General features: G+C 37.5%; 1 protein-coding gene across 50 annotated transcripts in view, besides 2 other annotated features; it reads left to right on the top strand.

The window, feature by feature from the left end:
* The window catches only part of TUT4 (terminal uridylyl transferase 4), a 130,189-nt gene that overhangs the window by 46,385 nt on the left and 65,993 nt on the right, over positions 1-17,811 (top strand). For all 50 annotated transcript variants that reach the window (XM_017000804.3, XM_047416324.1, XM_047416327.1 and 47 more), the window contains 4 exons: positions 9,896-10,073; positions 11,564-11,652; positions 13,417-13,468; positions 16,278-16,347. In XM_017000804.3, the coding sequence (XP_016856293.1) occupies positions 9,896-10,073; positions 11,564-11,652; positions 13,417-13,468; positions 16,278-16,347 (389 nt within the window). The remainder of the gene's footprint in view (positions 1-9,895; positions 10,074-11,563; positions 11,653-13,416; positions 13,469-16,277; positions 16,348-17,811) is intronic.
* Positions 8,165-8,684: an enhancer, noted in NCBI's record as "H3K4me1 hESC enhancer chr1:52964067-52964586 (GRCh37/hg19 assembly coordinates)". NCBI's record gives its function as "activates a minimal SCP1, AML or CMV promoter by ChIP-STARR-seq in primed H9 embryonic stem cells {active_cell/tissue: H9 hESC(primed)}" and the evidence as "EXISTENCE:reporter gene assay evidence [ECO:0000049][PMID:30033119]".
* Positions 8,685-9,204: an enhancer, noted in NCBI's record as "H3K4me1 hESC enhancer chr1:52963547-52964066 (GRCh37/hg19 assembly coordinates)". NCBI's record gives its function as "activates a minimal SCP1, AML or CMV promoter by ChIP-STARR-seq in primed H9 embryonic stem cells {active_cell/tissue: H9 hESC(primed)}" and the evidence as "EXISTENCE:reporter gene assay evidence [ECO:0000049][PMID:30033119]".

Raw genomic sequence — 17,811 nt, 5'->3', positions numbered from 1 at the left:
TGCTTCATGGGACACTGGGTAGAGTACTCAGAAGAATCTTGTTTCAGTAGTAGGGATATTTAGCCCTAAACTAAATGTGGTCTGGTCCTACATAAAATATTTTAAAGGCAACATTCAAAATGATAAATGGTTTCCAAGTATTTAATGTCATTACAGAACAAAGCTTAGGAATATTACAGAAATACAAAAATACTCATCACTGAAAAAAGTTCACATAATGTAGCATTTAGTCAAAGATTATCAGGTATGCAAAGAGGCAGGAAAATACAAATCATGATGAAGAGAAAAGTCAGCTATAATAACTGACCTTGAACTGACGCCTTTGTTAGGATTAGCAGAGAAGGACAGTAAGACAGTTAATATAACTGTATTCTTGATGTTTCAGAGATGAAGTAGAGACATGGAAAATATAAAAAAGATATGAACAGGACTATTAGAAACGAAAACTACGACATCTAAGATTAAAACTATATTGGGTAGGAATAATAGTACATCAAACATTGCAAAAGAAAAGGTTAGTGAACTCTTGAAGATAAGCAGTGGAAACCACCAGAGTGAAACACAGAAAGAAAAAATTAAACAAAAAGAAAAAAGTTAATGAGCTCTGGATAATTGATCAATATACATGTACTTGTTCTGTACAAATTTTTCCAGAACACTGAAGAGGAGAAATACTTCCCAGTTCAGTCTGTGAATATGAGGTCCACGTAACTCTGATATTCAAACCAGAGACATATTGCAATAAAGGAAAACTTTATTCTTAACTTGTTGACTCCGACGGGAGAAAAAAAAAGAAAGAAAACTTTAGGCCAAAACTCCTCATGAACATAGATGCAGAAATTCTAAATATAACTTTAGCCAATTGAATCCAACAGCATATTAGAGGAATGAATGTGTCATGATCAAGTGGGGCTTTATTCCAGGAGTGCAGTGTTAGTTTTACATTAAAAAATCCCTCATTGGCCAGGCGCAGTAGCTCAGGCCTGTAATCCTAGCACTTTGGGAGGCTGAGGAGGGCGGATCACCTGAGGTTAGGAGTTCGAGACCAGCCTGGCCAACATGGTGAACCCCGTCTCTACTAAAAATACAAAAATTAGCTGGGCATCGTGGCTCATGCCTGAAATCCCAGCTACTTGGGAGGCTGAACCCAGAAAGTTGAGGTTGCAGTAAGCTCAGATCGTGCCACTGCACTCCAGCCTGGGCAACAGAGCAAGACTTCATCTCAAAAAACAACAAAAACAAAAAAAACCCCGCTCATTGTGATTTACCATGTTAGCAAACAGAGAAAACTATGTGATTATCTCAGTAGATGCTGAAAAAGCGTTTTCAAAAATGCTTTGATAAAAAGTCTAAGCACAGCCAGGTGCGGTGGATCATGCCTGTAATCCCAGCACTTTGGGAGGCTGAGGTAGGCAGATCACCTGAGGTTGGGAATTCGAGACCAGCCTGGCCAATGTGGCGAAACCCCCTCTCCACTAAAAATACGAAAATTAGCCGGGCTTGGTGACCCACACCTGTAATTCCAGCTACTCGAGAGGCTGAGGCAGGAGAATCGCTTGAATCCCAGAGGTAGAGGTTGCAGTGAGCTGAGATGGCGCCACTGCACTCCAGCCTGGGTGGCAGAGTGATACTCTGTCTCAAAAAAAAAAAAAAAAAAAAAGTCTAAGCAAACTAGGAGTAGAAGACGACTTCTATAACATGATAAAGACATCTACAAAGCTGGGTGTGTTAGTCCCAGCTCCTTTGGTTGTTTGAACCTAGGAGTTTGAGATCAGCCTGGGCAATATAATGAGACCCTGTTAAAAAAAATCTACAAAAAACTAACAGTTATCATCATACTTAAGTATGAAAGACTGAATGCTGTCCCCCCAAGATTAGGAAAAAAGACAGGTATGAAAGTAGTGTAGCTGCCATGGAAAAGAGTACGGTGGTTCTTCAACAAATTAAAAATAGAACTACAGTATGATCCAGTAATTTCACTTCTGGGTATACACTTGAAAGAATTGAAAGCAGGGTTTCAAAGAGATATTTATACAACCAGGTTCATGGCAACATTATTCACAATAGCTAGTATGTGGAAGCAATTCAGATATCCATTGATGGATGAATAGATAAGCAAAATGTACAGTATTCATACAATGGAATATTACTCAGCCTTAAAAAGGATGGAAATTCTGCATTATGCAACAACATGGATGAACCTTGGGAAATTATGCTAAGTTAAATAAGCCTTTTAGAAAACGAAAAATAGTGTGTGATTCCACTTACATGAGGTTTTTAGAGTAGTCAGAATCAGAGACAGAATAGTGCTTGCCATAGGTTTGGAGGAGGGGAAAATGGGGAGTTATTGCTTGATAGATAGTTTTGATTTTGCATTTGTGTTCTGTGTTATAGTATTTGGTTTTTATTTTGAGCATTATGGAGTTTAATAACATGTTTGTTTTTTTTCAAGATAGAGTCTTGCTCTATCGCCCAGACTGAAGTGCAGTGGCGCTATCTCATCTCACTACAACCTCCACCTCCTGGGTTCAAGCAGTTCTTCTGCTTCAGCCTCCCGAGTAGCTGGGATTACAAGTGCATGCCACCACGCCTGGCTAATTTTTGTATTTTTAGTAGAGACGGGGTTTCACCATGTTGGCCAGGCTGGTCTCAAACTCCTGACCTCCTGATCCACCCGCGTCAGCCTCCCAAAGTGCGGGGATTACAGGTGTGAAACAGTGCACCTGGCCATAACATGTATTTTTGCAAGGTCACTCACCCTGGCTTCTGTGAAAGAAGCCTGAGAAGGGTCTGTTTGGGGAGACCAGTTAGCCTTTCATAATAATCTAGTTAAGCTGTGATGAACACTGACCTGAAGTAGTAGTTAGTGAGAATGGAATTGAGTTTTAAGAGAGATTCAGGATGTAGAATTGTGGGAGTACAGGCCTAGGATGTCTTGAATGATCATAAGGTGTCTGATTTGATATGTTATCATAGTTTGTGGTGCCATTTACTTAGCAGAAATAAAAAATGTTTCATAACATTCTGAGTTTGAGACACTTACAGAACATTTCAAGTAGAGATGTCCCACAGTCATTTGAATATAAGGATCTGGAACTTATATTAGCAGTTGGAGATTCAGGTTTGGTAAACTTCAGCAGTTGAAATCATAGTTGTGGATGAGGTCACCAAATGAGTAAGGACAGAATGTCAAGGAATACAAACATTTAAGGGACTAGTAGAGGAAGAACAGTGAATAGATTGGTGAATGAGTAGAATAATAGGAAAAATAGAGAAAGGTGTTAGAGAAGCTAAAAGAAAGGAAAGTTTCAAGATGGTAGTTGAAAATGTGATAATATAGATAAAAATAATCTAAAAGCTTAAAAGATGTCTGATTTGGTGCCTGTAGTCTCAGCTACTCAGGATGCTGAGGTGGGAGGATTGCTTGAGCCCAGGGGTTTGGGTCCATACTGGGCCACGTAGCAAAATCCTGTCAATTAAAAAATAAATAAAAATTTAAAATGTCAGATTTGGCAACTAAGGAGGTTTTGATAATCCTGGGAAGAACAGTTTCTGCTTTAGAACTAAAAAAGACATAGTTTTGAGTGAGAAGGGATAAGGAAATAAAAGGAGAATAGACTCAACTTTCAGGAAACTTCATTGTGCAGAAAAGAAGGGAAGATTGGTAGTAGCTAGACTGGCACACAGTTTTTTTTTTCTTTTAATTTGGCAGAGTAAAGTTCTTATCACAGTTTTAATTTTTTAATTTAAATAATCATTTAATTAATCTTTCTCTCTTGACTGTAAGCTCCATGAGGGCTGGGATTATATGCATTATTTTTTTCCCATCTTAGCACAGTACCTGGCATATAGTTGTTCCATAAATATTTGTTGATTAATGATTTAAATGGAGTGGAAAGAGCATACGGGTTGGAGTTAGAACTAGATTTAATTCTCAGTTCCACCTTGTAGTTGTAGGACGATATTTAACATCTGTAAGCCTCAGTATTCTTATGTATAAAATGGTTTTGGTAGTATCTATCTGGGGAGTAATATTGTGAGAATTAAATGACATAACATCTGTAAAGCACTTGGCACGGTGCCAGGTCCATAGTGGGTACTCAATAAATGATAGTTGTTGCTGTTAGTGTAGAGGCGAAGAGTGCTTACTTAATGTGCCAGGCTTGGTGGCTCACGCCTGTAATCCTAGTACTTTGGGAGGCCAAGGAAGGTGGATCTCCTGAGCTCAGGAGTTTGAGACCAGCCTGGGCAACATAGTGAAACCCCATCTCTACCAATAATACAAAAAATTAGCTGGGCGTGGTGGCACGTGCCTGTGGTCCCAGCTACTTGAGAGGCTTAGGTGGAGGAGCGCTTGTATCTGGGAGGTGGAGATTGCAGTGAGCAGAGATTACTCAATTGCACGCCACGCCAACCTGGGTGACAGAGGGAGTGAGATCCCATCTCAAAAAAAAAAAAAAAAAAAAAAAGAGGGCTAAGAGGGCTTACTTAATGAAAACACAGACTAGTAGATTGTGTAATGTTTAAGGAGAAGGAGATTATTACTGAGTGGGTAAAGAAGGATGGAATTCAGAGCACAGGTGATAGTATTAATCATGATTTAAATGGAGCATTTCATTATGTTGGAAAAGAAAGATATTAAGGGTTCGCTGAATATTTGACTTTTAAGCTGTAACTTGAAGGATGATTAGTTTTACCAGGTGGATACACATAGGGGACAAAATGATTTAAAGGCATGGAGACCCAATGGCACATAGAGTATTTGGAGACTGGTGACTGTTTAAATGTGGATGTCTGTCAAAAATATTGGAGAGGGTGGAGGGAATGGTTGGAGGAAGGCCTAGAAATGCAAATTGAGACCAAAATGCTTTATATTCCATGTTAAGAACATGTTGCATTGTCTTACCGGCGCATTGAAGGTTTTTTTTTTTTTTGAAATTTTTTTATTGTGGTAAAATATATATAAGATAAAATTTACCATTTTAACCATTTTTAAGTGTACAGTTCAGTGACATTAAGTACATTTACATTGTTTTGCAATCATCTCCACTGTCCACCTTCATTCAGAACTTTTTCATCATTCTATACTGAAACTCTGTATCCATTAAGCAATAACTCCCCATTCCCCTCTCCCTGCAGCCCCTAGTAACCACCATTCTATTTTCTGTTTCTATTTGCTTGTCTATTGTAGGTACCCCATATAAATGGAATCATACATTATTTATCCTTTAGTGTTATTTCACTTAGCATGTCTTCAGGTCAACCGCGTTGTAGCATCTGTCAGAATTTCTTTCCTTTTTGAGGTTGAATAATATTCCATCGTATCTGTATGCCATGTTTTGTGAATCATTTCATCCATGGATGGACACTTGGGTTGTTTCCACCATTTGACTGTTGTGAATAATGTTGCTGTGAACATCGATGTACAAATACCTATTTGAGTTCCTTTTTTCATTTGTTTTTTGTATATACCCAGAATTGGAATTGCTGGGTCAAATGGTAAATCCATGTTTAGTTTTTTGGGATTGCCATGCTGTTTTCCACAGTGGTGACATCATTGTACATCTTTACCAGTAATGCACAAGGGTTCCAAATTCTCCACATTCACACCAACTCTTGTTTTCTGCCTCCCCCCGCCCCCCCATAATAGCAATGCTGATGGATATGAAGTGGTATTTCATTGTGCTTTTGATTTGCATTTCTCTAATGATTAGTGGTATTTAGCATCTTTTCATGTACTTATTTGGCATTTGTATATCTTTGGAGAAATGTCTATTCAAATCCTTTGTTCACTTTTGAATTGGGTTGTTTGTTTTCTTATTGTTGAGTTTAAGGGATTATTTATATATTCTGGATATTAATCCCTTATTAGATACATGATTGCAAATATGTTCTTCCATTTTGTGGGTTGTCTTTTTACTCTGTCAGTAGTGTCTTTTGATGAACAAAAGTTCTAAATTTCGTCCAGTCTAATTTATCTGCTTTTACTTTTGTTGCCTATGTCTTTTGTGTCATATTCAAGAAATCATTGCCAAATCCAATGTCATGAAACTTACCTTCTGTTTTTTTCTAGGAGTTCTATGATTTTACATTTCTTAGTTACGGTTTTATAGCTATAAGTGTAGGTTTTAGTATCTTTCTTTTCTTTTTTTGTTTTTGAAATGAGGTCTTTGTTGCCCAGGCTGGAGTACAGTCATGGCTCGCTGTAGCCTCTACCTCCTGCACTGAAGTGATCCTGCCTCAGCCTTCCAAGTAGCTGGGACCACAAGCATGTGCCACCATGCCTGGCTAATTTTTTATTTATTTTTATTTTTTTGAGACAGAGTTTCATTCTTGTTGCCCAGGCTGGAGTGCAATGGCACAATCTCGGCTCATTGCAACCTCCGCCTCCTGAGTTCAAGCAGTTCTCCTGCCTCAGTCTCCCAAGTAGCTGGGATTACAGGCATCTGTCACCATGCCCGGCTAGTTTTTTGTATTTAGTAGAGACGGAGTTTTGCCATGTTGGTTGGGCTGGTCTTGAATTCCTGACCTCAGGTGATCCACCCGCCTCAGCCTCCCAAAGTGCTGGGATTACAGGCGTGAGCCACCGTGCCTGGCCTAATTTTTTATTTTTGTAGAGGTGGAGTCTCAACTATGTTGCCCAGGCTAATCTCAAATTTCTTGGCTTCAGCAGTCCTCCTGCCTTGGCCTCCCAGAGTATTACAACTGTGAGCCACTATACCTGGCCTAGTTTTAGTTTCTGACATTTAGGTCTTTGATCCATTTTGAGTTAATTTTTGTATATGATCTAAGGTCAGAGTCCAGCTTCATTCTTTTACATGTAGATATTCAGTTTTCCCAGCAACATTTGTTGAAAAAACTGTCCTTTCCCCATTGAGTGTTCTTGGCACCCTTGTCAAAAATCATTAGACCATACATGCCAGGGTTTATTTCTGGGCACTCTGTTCTTTTTTTTTTTGAGCAGAATCTAGCTCTGTTGCCCAGGCTGGAGTGTAATGGCATGATCTCAGCTCACTGCAACCTCCACCTCCCTGGTTCAAGCAATTCTCCTGCCTCAGCCTCCCAAGTAGCTGGGATTACAGACAGGCATGCACCACCACACCCAGCTTATATATATATGTGTGTGTGTGTATATATATGTATATATATGTATATATATTTTTTTAATTTAGTAGAGACGGGGTTTCATCATGTTGGCCAGGCTGGTCTTGAACTCCTGACCTCAAGTGATCCGCCCACCTCTGCCTCCCAAAGTGCTTGTAGGCATGAGCCACCACGCCTGGCCTGGGCTCTCTGTTTGATTCCATTGGTCTACATGTCTGTCTTTATTTTTATTTTATTTTTTTGAAACAAGGTCTTGTTTGTTGCTCAAGCTGGACTGCAGTGGTGCAATCTCATTTCACTGCAACCTCCACCTCCGGGGCTCAAGCCATCCTCACCTCAGCCTCCTGAGTAGGTGGGACTGGAGGTAGGCACCACCATGCCAGGCTAATTTTTATATTTTTTGTAGAAACAGGGTTTCACCATGTTGCCTAGGCTGGTCTCAAACTCTTGGGCTCAAGTGATCCTCCCACCTCAGCCTCCCAGAGTGCTAGGATTACTGGCATGAGCCACCATGCCCAGCCATGTCTGTCTTTATGCTAGTACACATAGTGGTTTGTTTTGTTTTCTTTTGTGTTTTGAGACAGAGTCTTGCTCTGTTGTCCAGGCTGGAGTGCAATGGCACGATCTTGGCTCACTGTAACCTCTGCTTCCGGGTTCAAGCAGTTCTCCTGTCTAAGCCTCCTGAGTAGCTGGGATTACCATTGTGTGCCACCATGCCTGGCTAATTTTTGTATTTTTAGTAGAGGTGGGGTTTCTCCATGTTGGCCTGTCTGGTCTCGAACTCCTGACCTCAAGCAATCCACCTGCCTTGGCTTCTCAAGTTGCTGGAATTACAGGTGTGGGCTACCTGACCTGGCCATGTTGTTTTGATTACTATAGCTTTGTAGTACGTTTTGCAGCCAGTAAGTGTGAATCCTCCAGCTTTGTTCTTTGTCAGGATCGTTTTGGCTATTTGGGGTCCTTTGAGAGTCTGTGTACATTTAGGATTGATCTTTATATTTCTGTGAAAAATGTCATATATATATATATATATATATATATATATATATATATATATATATATATATATATAATTTTTTTTTTTTTTTGTAATGGAGTCTTGCTCTGTCACCCAGGCTGGAGTGCAGTGGTGCGATCTTGACTCACTGCAAGCTCCACCTCCGAGGTTGAAACGATTCTCCTGTCTCAGCCTCCCAAGTGGCTGGGATTGCAAGTGCCTGCTACTATGCCCACCTAATTTTTGTATTTCTATTAGAGACGGGGTTACACCATGTTGGCCAGGGTTGTCTGCATCTCCTGACCTTAAGTGATACGCCTGCCTTGGCCTCCCAAAGTGTTGGGATTACACATGTGAGCCGCTGCATCCGGCCTTTTATCATTTTTTCATTAAGTCTGTTGCTATTAGTTCTTTGGATGGATCCTAAGTGAAACGGCCGGGCGCTGTGGCTCACGCCTGTAATCCCACCACTTTGGGAGGCCGAGGTGGGTGGACCACGAGGTCAGCAGATGGGGACCATACTGGCTAACACGGTGAAACCCCATCTCTACTAAAAATACAAAAAAATTAGCCAGGCGAGGTGGCGGGTGCCTGTAGTCCCAGCTACTCGGAAGGCTGAGGCAGGAGAATGGCGTGAACCCCGGGGGGGCGGAGCCTGCAGTGAGCTGAGATCGCGCCACTGCACTCCAGCCGGGGCGACAGCGAGACTCTGTCTCAAAAAAAAAAAAAAAAAAAAAGTACTGAAACTTAGATGCTTATGTAAGACTTAGATACTTAGATTATAATTAAGAATTGCAGAAATGATCACAGAGACTTAGAAAAATGAGTTTGACTTACCCCTCATGTTTGATAATTCCTTACCTGAGGTAAGCTTTACTTAGGTTAAGTCTGAATATGGTAACAGTTAGTGAAAATAGAAATGGACCAAAGTCTTTAAGTATATTTGATTGGGTAGGGAAACCAACTAGCTTTGGCTATTATATCTGATGGGAGCGTCATGTTTCAAAAGATAAGAGATGGTTTCTTGAGTGAAAAATGTTAATAGAAAATGCCTGTGTGGGGAGGGGATGTGTTAATAATACTAAATAAAAGAGAATGATTGTGGCTCAGTTGTGTTAAAGAATGAAGGAGATAGTAGGATATGAAATTGTGGGTTATTTTCTTCTTTGTATTTTCCTGTGTTTTATGTAGCTTTTGTAATTAACATTTTTTAAATCAGAAAATAATTAATAAAAGTCATTGCATATATATAGCAAAGTGTCTTTTTAGCTCCTAGATTTAAATTGGCTTTAAAACTTTTAGCAGAATAGAGGTTTTTTGAACATTTCGCATAGCGTTGGATAAAATCACAAAGAGAAATCACTGGTAAATAGTAGGCAGGAAGTTTTCCTGTGACCATTTAACTTGATACTGTATATGCTGATTAGATAGGATTCAAGACTTTTCTGCTACATCTAAGACAATCTGCCTTGGTGCAACAAAATCGTCAAGTTAGTATTGTACTTAAGGTACCTTGGCTTTAATGTAGCATTTCAGAATTTATGCAGACAGTACAGTGGAACAAATTTTTAAAAACTTAGTAGCATCCCCTCCCCACACAGTACCTCTCATTCTCAAAACCCTGCTTCCCAAAGGCAGAAGTCTTTTGTTCACTTCCGTATTGTAGGTATCTGGTAGATGGAAGGTGAATATTTTTGTTGAGTTAGTTTATTTCTGTCTTTCCCTGCTAAATATAAGAACAATTAAAATAGAAACTTTTTTTGTTTTTATTGTTGTGAATCATTACATTAATAGGAAAAACAAGAAGAAAGTGAGCTTCGTTCTCTGCCACCTCCTTCCCCTGCCCACTTGGCTGCTTTAAGTGTTGCAGTCATTGAATTAGCAAAAGAACATGGAATAACAGATGATGACCTCAGAGTCCGTCAGGAAATTGTGGAGGAAATGTCAAAGGTTATAACGACATTTTTACCAGGTAGAAATACATTTCATATTTGATTTTGAAAATCACAAAACTCTTCCCTTGCTCCTCTTGAACTAGAGTACATTTCTTAATGTTTTTCTTCCCTTTTCTCCTTAAAAGTAGATAAAATTTATTGTTTTATGAATGAATTTTTGAGGGAAATATTTCACACAAGGAAATTGAGAATTATGGCACAGCACACTTTTGTACTAAGAAAAAAAGATTTTAAAAATGCCAGATGTAGAACTATTTCTTGGCGGTCAAATATTTTAGTTTTTCAATATCACTGATTTCTGAGTGGACTATTTTGTTATATTATTTTCAGTATAAACATTTCATCCAGTCACTGAACTAAATTTCTGTTGCCTGATGGTGGGGAAAAATTAATTTACTTTAATAGGGCCTTTAGAAAAAGCTTATTGTTTGGTACAAGGGAGTGTCAGATTTATTTTAGATATTTATATATGGACTATTTGCTTAGCCCATATCTTTTTTGCATCAGTATAGGGTTAAAGTAAATGTATCTGACGTAAGACTTATTTCTTCCCACCAAAGGGATTTTGGAAAGTTGATAAATTATACTTTCATATAGATCCATTTTGAGATTTATAAGAAAGAATATAAAATTGAAATTTAAAAATGGAATTTTTAAAGTATTTATATCATAATATGGCTTTCTACCTAAAATACATTGAATCCTTGTTTAAGTTACATGTAAAAATTATTTACTATGATAAGAAAAGGAATGAATTTTTATGGGTTTAGTGACTTGAATGACTTTCAGACATTTTATGAACTTGAAAAGTAGACTTTTATATATACAACTGAGGATGAAGTTAAACTTTCTAAGAAACTAAATCTTCTTGATCTGTCCCAATCATATTATTTTCAAATTGGCCTCTGGTGAGATCCTTTTAACATTTGCCTTATTATGATTTTTGGAATAACATGTTTCATAGTCTGGGAAAGCTGTAAGTAGTGTGTTACTGCTTTTCTTTTTTTTCTATAAACTCTTGAGAACCACAGTGTTTTGGGTTTTAGGTTTACAGAATTAACTGACTTGGCTTCACTTCGTATTTTATAAAAGCATTGGCATTGAATGTTTATGATCCTTTCCCCAAAGTGCTCTTACATAAATATTTAAGAGTAAATAAATGTAGTTTGTGACAGTAGCCATAGCTAAGTTGGTACATTAGTTACTGTTATATATTGAATGCTAAACATATTGTCAGTCATTTCTAAATGAACTATTACTAAAATTTTGTTTAAACAGTAAGCTTCTGTGAGTAGTTTCTCTCTCCCTTCTCTGTTCCTACACTCCATAACTGGGAACCATTTTTTTATTCTATAGATCAGTTAGAAAGGGTGTTCTTCTTGTATAATTGTCTTACTAGAAATGGAAGACGTAGAACTGAAGTGTGTGAAATTTTCCCGTCGCTGTTTTTTTACATCTCTCATATTTGCATGCTATTTCATGCTTTGATGTTTTTCCTTTATTCCAGAATGTTCACTTAGGTTGTATGGCTCATCTCTGACTAGATTTGCTCTGAAAAGTAGTGATGTTAATATAGATATAAAATTTCCTCCCAAGGTAAGTAATTAGAATCTTTCCTGTGTGGTTCTTAACTAGTACTTAGTAATTTTTATGGATTATCTTTGTAGAGAAAGGATAGGGAAATATAAAACTCTGGTTTGTATAGTGTTACCATCGTGACTAAACAGTGCTTTTGGAAATTACTATTAGATTTCAGACAAAGGCAGGATAAAAGAAATAAGGGACAAGGGCAAAAGGAAGCAGAAGAGGAAAGCTGGAAAAAGGAAAAATGTTTATATTTGAACATGTTGAATAGTTAATACTTCTGGTAAGCAGTATAGAAGGTGGGAAGAGTTTTGAAATCAGATACCTAGATTCAGATCTTATCTGTGATAAGCAAGTTGCTTGAACTTTTTGAGCTTCAGTTTTCTCATTTCCAAAACAGGAATAATAATTTTTATATTAAATGAGATAATATTAATATATGTCAGGTGTCTTAATATAGTATCTGGTACATATGGGTACTTTTAATAAGTAGTACCTAGAATCATTAGAACAATATTGATATTGTTCTAATATTGTTATCAGTATTAGAACAATATTGTTTAGCACTGCTGACATTCTTTATTGACATATCAATCTTTTAAAATAAGTCAATATTTTATGTTTTAAATTGAATAATATGTTTATGTTCAGGGAGGTTTGATTTGGGTGAAAATTTGGTGTTTGTAGGGTGATACATTTACTTTATAATTAATGTATGGTTATTAAATATTTTTGTTGTTTGTTTTTGAGACATAACCTCACTTTGTTTCCCAGGCTGGAGTGCAGTGATGCAGTCTCGGCTGACTGCACCCTCCACCTCCTGGGTTCAAGCGATTCTCCTGTCTCAGCCTCCTGAGTAGCTGGGATTACAGGTGTGTGCCACCATGCCTGGCTAATTTTTGTATTTTTAGTAGAAACGGGGTTTCACCTTGTTGGTCAGGCTGGTGTTGAACTCCTGACCTCAGGTGATCCGCCTGCCTCGGCCTCCCAATGTGCTGGGATTACAGGTGTGAGCCACCGCACCTGGCCTAAATATTCTTAAATAGCAAAAAACACTTTAAACATTTGACAAGCTTGTTACATAAAATAGTATTTTATTCTAAGCCTTTTGACTAAGCTTCCAGTTGTCTATATCCCTTAAAGTTTTTATCTCAACAATTTGTTTTTCACAGTCATCTGGTCAACTCATTTCTCTTTTGTTTTGATGGGAAATTCCAGAACCTTTTCTTGCTTTAAGAAACCATTAATTCTAAGAGTGTTTCTGGAATAAAAGTGCTATATCATTTATTAGATTCTACTTCTTTGAACAAGATTTGTTGACATAAAAGTAAAACATGGCCAGGTAAGGTGGCTCATGCTTATAATTCCCGTGCTTTGGGAGGCAAAAGTAGGAGGAATCCTTCTTGCCAGGAGTTCAAGACCAGCCTGGGCAATATAGCAAGACCTTGTCTCTTAAAAAAAAAAAAAAAAAAAGTATTAGCTGGATGTGGTGGCACACACTTACACTCCTAGCTACTCGGGATGCTGAGGCAGGAGGAGTCTTTGAGCCCAGAAGTTCAGGCTGTAGTGAGCTATGGTCATGCTGCAGCCTGGACAATACAGGGAAACCTCATCTCAAAAAAAAACAAAAAAAAAACACGATTCTGTTTTCACTATTTAAAACACAAAGCATGATTATATTTAAATGTTATTCTTTAATGAAATTGAGTTTTCCTTAATGTTCTGCTGTCCGAACTTTGAAATTAGTATATCGATTTATTTTTGAAACTTTTTTAGATGAATCATCCAGATCTTCTGATAAAAGTACTTGGGATTTTAAAGAAAAATGGTGAGTTTCTTTTCTTTTTCTTTTCTTTTTTTTTTTTAATTTGTCTTTCTAAAGGTACATGTGTTGTTTATATATGGCTAACCAAGTTAAAACTAAACTGCTGGCATAGTTGAGTCATTGCATTACAAATGGAGATACATACACACACTTGTTTATAGATATACTAGAAAATATAATTTAACTGTAACTTAGGTAAAAAAAAAAATGCCATATTAAAATTGATATGTAGGCTGGGCACCGTGGCTCACACCTGTAATCCCAGCACTCTGGGAGGCTGAGATGGGTGGATCACCTGAGGTCAGGCGTTTGGGACCAGCCTGACTAACATGCTGAAACCCCGTCTCTACTAAAAACACAAAATTAGCCAGGCGTGGTGGCACGTACCTGTAGTCCCAGCTACTCGGGAGACTGAGGCAGAAGAATTGCTTGAACCCGGGATGCGGAGGTTGCAGTGAGCTGAGATTGCGCTGCTACACTCCAGCCTGGGCGGCAAAAGTGAAACTCCGTCTGGAAAATACAAAAACAAAAAACCTTCATATGCAAAAAACTACTGCCTTTTGGGTAATTAAAAAATATTTGCTTTGAATATTATGGGCATTTCTTATGTAAAAGAAGACAAAACCTATAATCATTATGAGGTCATTACTGAAAGAAGATTAAGGAGAGACTTGGAATAAAAATGTATGCATGCATTGAGTAAATATGTTTTTTCCCACCTAAAGCATCTATATTAATTTAATCATTTATATTACATCAGTTGAATCATACCTAGTTGAGTTTTTCATGTGTGCTTTTTCTGTCTGGATTGCCTTTGTAAACACATCATTCATATAGGTAAGAAAAATTTAAAAATTACAAGATTCTCAAACCAGGCTCCAGGTCATGTGTTACAATCTTCAAGATTTGCTTGGTTTTTACTTACTGTTTTTCTTGTTACAAAGTGAATGCTTAAGATTAAGCTTGGGAGCTGGAGCTAGACTTTCTGGGCTCAGATTTTAGTTCTGCCACTTACTGGTTGTGTGTCCTTTGACAAATTATTTGTGTTAATACCTTAGCTTTCCCATCTGTAAAATGGTAATATTACATTGTATCTTTTTGATGAGAAAGTTGTTGTAAGAATGAGATAGGCTAAACTATAGTTTAGAAAAGTGTGGGATATACAATAACTTCTTATTACGTTTTTGCTGTTGTGATTGTTATTATTACCCTAAATTATATGAATCAAAAGTATTTGCAATTTGGGTTAGAAGAGAGAGCTTTTTTTTAAAGCCATACTCTCTCATTGGCTTTAATATGAATTCTAAATTTCTTTTTTCTTTCTGTCCACACAATCAGCTCTTATCAGTTTCCTGTTGGCCATTGTCTTGGGAAAATAGTTTTCTAGGAATGAGTTTGGTACAGTGTATCATATAAAGGTATTTTAATACAGTTTTCTTTCTTCAATACTTGTTTCTAATTGCCGAAAAACTTTTAAGTTTACTACAGATAAGAGGTAGACATAGCATTTACCTCTTCAGACTTCCTAGGTAGTATCATCCTAGCACAAATATTTAATATATGCCTTTTCCATCCAAGATATATAAGTAGATTATCTTAAGTCATACAATGTAGGCTTATAAAACTCAGTCTGATTGTAAAATTGATTATTTCTTCCTTTATGTTCTTACTGTATCTTCTACAGGTCACCTACAGGATTTATATGTTTATATATTTGTGTCCCAAACCCCTTATTGACCTTTTTTGTGTTTTACTCATTGTCATATTGACCCTGCTTAATGCAGTTTCTGACATATAGGTCTTCAGCACGTGTTTTTTGACTAAATTAATAATTACAACAAGTACTATTGAGAAATTTTCTTTGAATTACAAGTGATGTTAATCTATCTGGTTTTTTTTTGTTGTTGTTATTTTTGTTTTGTTTATTTTGAGATGGAGTCTCGCTCAGGCTGAAGTGGGAATGTAGTGGCACGATCTCGGCTCACTTCAACCTCTGCCTCCTGGGTTCAAGCAGTTCTCTGCCTCAGCCTCCCGAGTAGCTGGGATTACAGGCGCGTGCCACCATGCCCGGATAATTTTTGTATTTTTAGTAGAGACGAGGTTTCACCATCTTGGCCAGGCTGGTCTTGAACTCCTGACCTCGTGATCCACCCACCTCGGCCTCCCAAAGTGCTGGGATTACAGGTGTGAGCCACCATGCCCGGCCAATCTATCTGTTTTTATTTAGATTAGACATTTATGGCATGGGGCTTACCCTTGGAGATACAGAGAAAGATTTCAGGGTAGAAATGTGCTTCATCCGGTTAGTCCTTCCTTAGCAGCTTTGATTAGGCAAACTCTTCATATACTAACGGGAAATGTGGCCTGAAGAGTTAGGTTGTAATTACATTGGTAATTTAAAAGAACTAAACTGTCAAAGCATGATAGGTCCTCCTTTCATGGCTCCTGTGGAACTAGCTCTCAGGAGTAAGGGGTGTCCTCTCTTTGCTGTTATCTATGAAGGTTTAACAACTTTGACTAGATTATCTACTTACTTGGAAATATTAAAACTTTTAGGGATGTTAAGACCTTTCTTAAGGTGATTATAATTTTTGGACAGTATTTGGGGCTGTACCTGTGGTTTGTGATATACAGCAAATGACACCAGGAGAGGTAAGAGATTTCGCTGGGTTGGTGCTCATAATGAGAAGAGTGGATTATCCCACAGAAGCAATGAGAATAATTTTCAGAAGGAAACTGTTACTTAATGTTTACTGTAGAGTACGTATTTTAGAGATGTTGACATTAGCTTACTTTTTTTTTTCCTTATTAGTATTATATGTAGATGTGGAATCTGATTTTCACGCTAAAGTTCCTGTTGTGGTGTGCAGAGATCGAAAAAGGTTGGTAACAATGAAGATAAAATATTTAAAAAAACAAACCCCAACAACCAAATTTGTAGTGAATGATCTTTAAGAGAAAAAGTTTTTGTTTTAGATTTCTCCTTGGATGAATATGACTAAGCTAGTTTCTATTCATTAAAAATAGCAAGCTTACCAAATGCATGTGAACAAGAAATATATAGAACATCAGACAGTTGAAAATAAAATACTCTAGGCAAAACTTCAATTTTTTTTTTTTCAAGTCATTCACTCACCCAAGAGTATTGCATTTACTTATATGCAGGTACTACTTTGCTCTATGGATACAGACATAAAGAAGAAATAGCCTCTCTTCAGTCACTTGAGCCCAGGAATTCAAGACTAGCCTGGGCAACATAGTGAGACCTTGTCTCCACAAAAAAAATAAAAAAATCAGCCAGGCATGGTGGGTGTGTGTGCCTGTGGTCCCAGCTACTCGGGAGGCTGAGGTGGGAGGATGGCCTGAGCCTGGGAGGTTGAGGCTGCAGTGAGCCGTGATTGTGCCACTGCACTCCAGCCTGGGTGACAGAGTGAGACCCTGTCTCAAAAAAAAAAAAAAAAAAGCCTCTCTTCTCAAGGATCTCACAATCCATTAGAATTTAGAGTTTAGTTTTTATTTCACTTACATTGAATGAGTTGATTTAAATTGAATAAACTCAAGATCAGTCCTAAATTGAAGACTGATCTTGCCTTTCTAGTTAGATGTCTATAAGTCTAAGAGATCAAAGTGCCTTTGAAAGCAGAAACTAAATCCTATTTGAAAGTAGTGTGGGAGACATGGAAACAATACAGAAATGATATTCTTTTATTGATTATTAACTTGTATTATATTTTAAGATCAAGGTATTTTCTTATTCAAAGCTAGATGAGTCTATGGCGATCTAGTTCAGATTTATTTTCTAAACTAGAAAAATGGGACCTGGAGTGGTTTATCAGTTTGTCTAGATTCACATCATTGAGGGGGAAACTATAATTGGAAAATGGAGGCAAAGTGACCTTTAGTGTTTTTTCTGCCACATTGTGTTAAATTGCCTGTGTGTGACACCTCAGATTTATTCTTCTCCCTGCTTTCAAAATATCTTCACTACACTTCTGTCATCCCATTTAAGGTTGCTGCTATTTTCACTTACACAGAAGTATAATTTGTGGGTTAATCTGCAAATCCTGTCTAATCTTTACTCTGAAAATAACATATTAGTACAATTGTGAAAGCTTGGATAGGAAAAATTAGAGTCAAGAAGTATAGCCAGTCAGTTAAGTATTCATTTTTTGCTATTATCATGTAGAAAGCAAGAGGATTGAACTAGGAAATTACCTTGCACTATTTGACATTGAAGAGATCAGTGCCCTGTCTCTCATGTATATCAGTTTTGATAATTCATAATGCTGCTTTTGAAATTAATTTCTCATTAACTTAAATACTAAGTTTGGTTGAAATTTATTTCT

This window comes from Homo sapiens, chromosome 1, assembly GCF_000001405.40.
Source record: "Homo sapiens chromosome 1, GRCh38.p14 Primary Assembly".
Taxonomy (NCBI): Eukaryota; Metazoa; Chordata; class Mammalia; order Primates; family Hominidae; genus Homo; species Homo sapiens.
The sequence above is the reverse complement of the archived record's forward strand: the minus strand, read 5'-3'. Positions and strand labels throughout refer to the sequence as shown.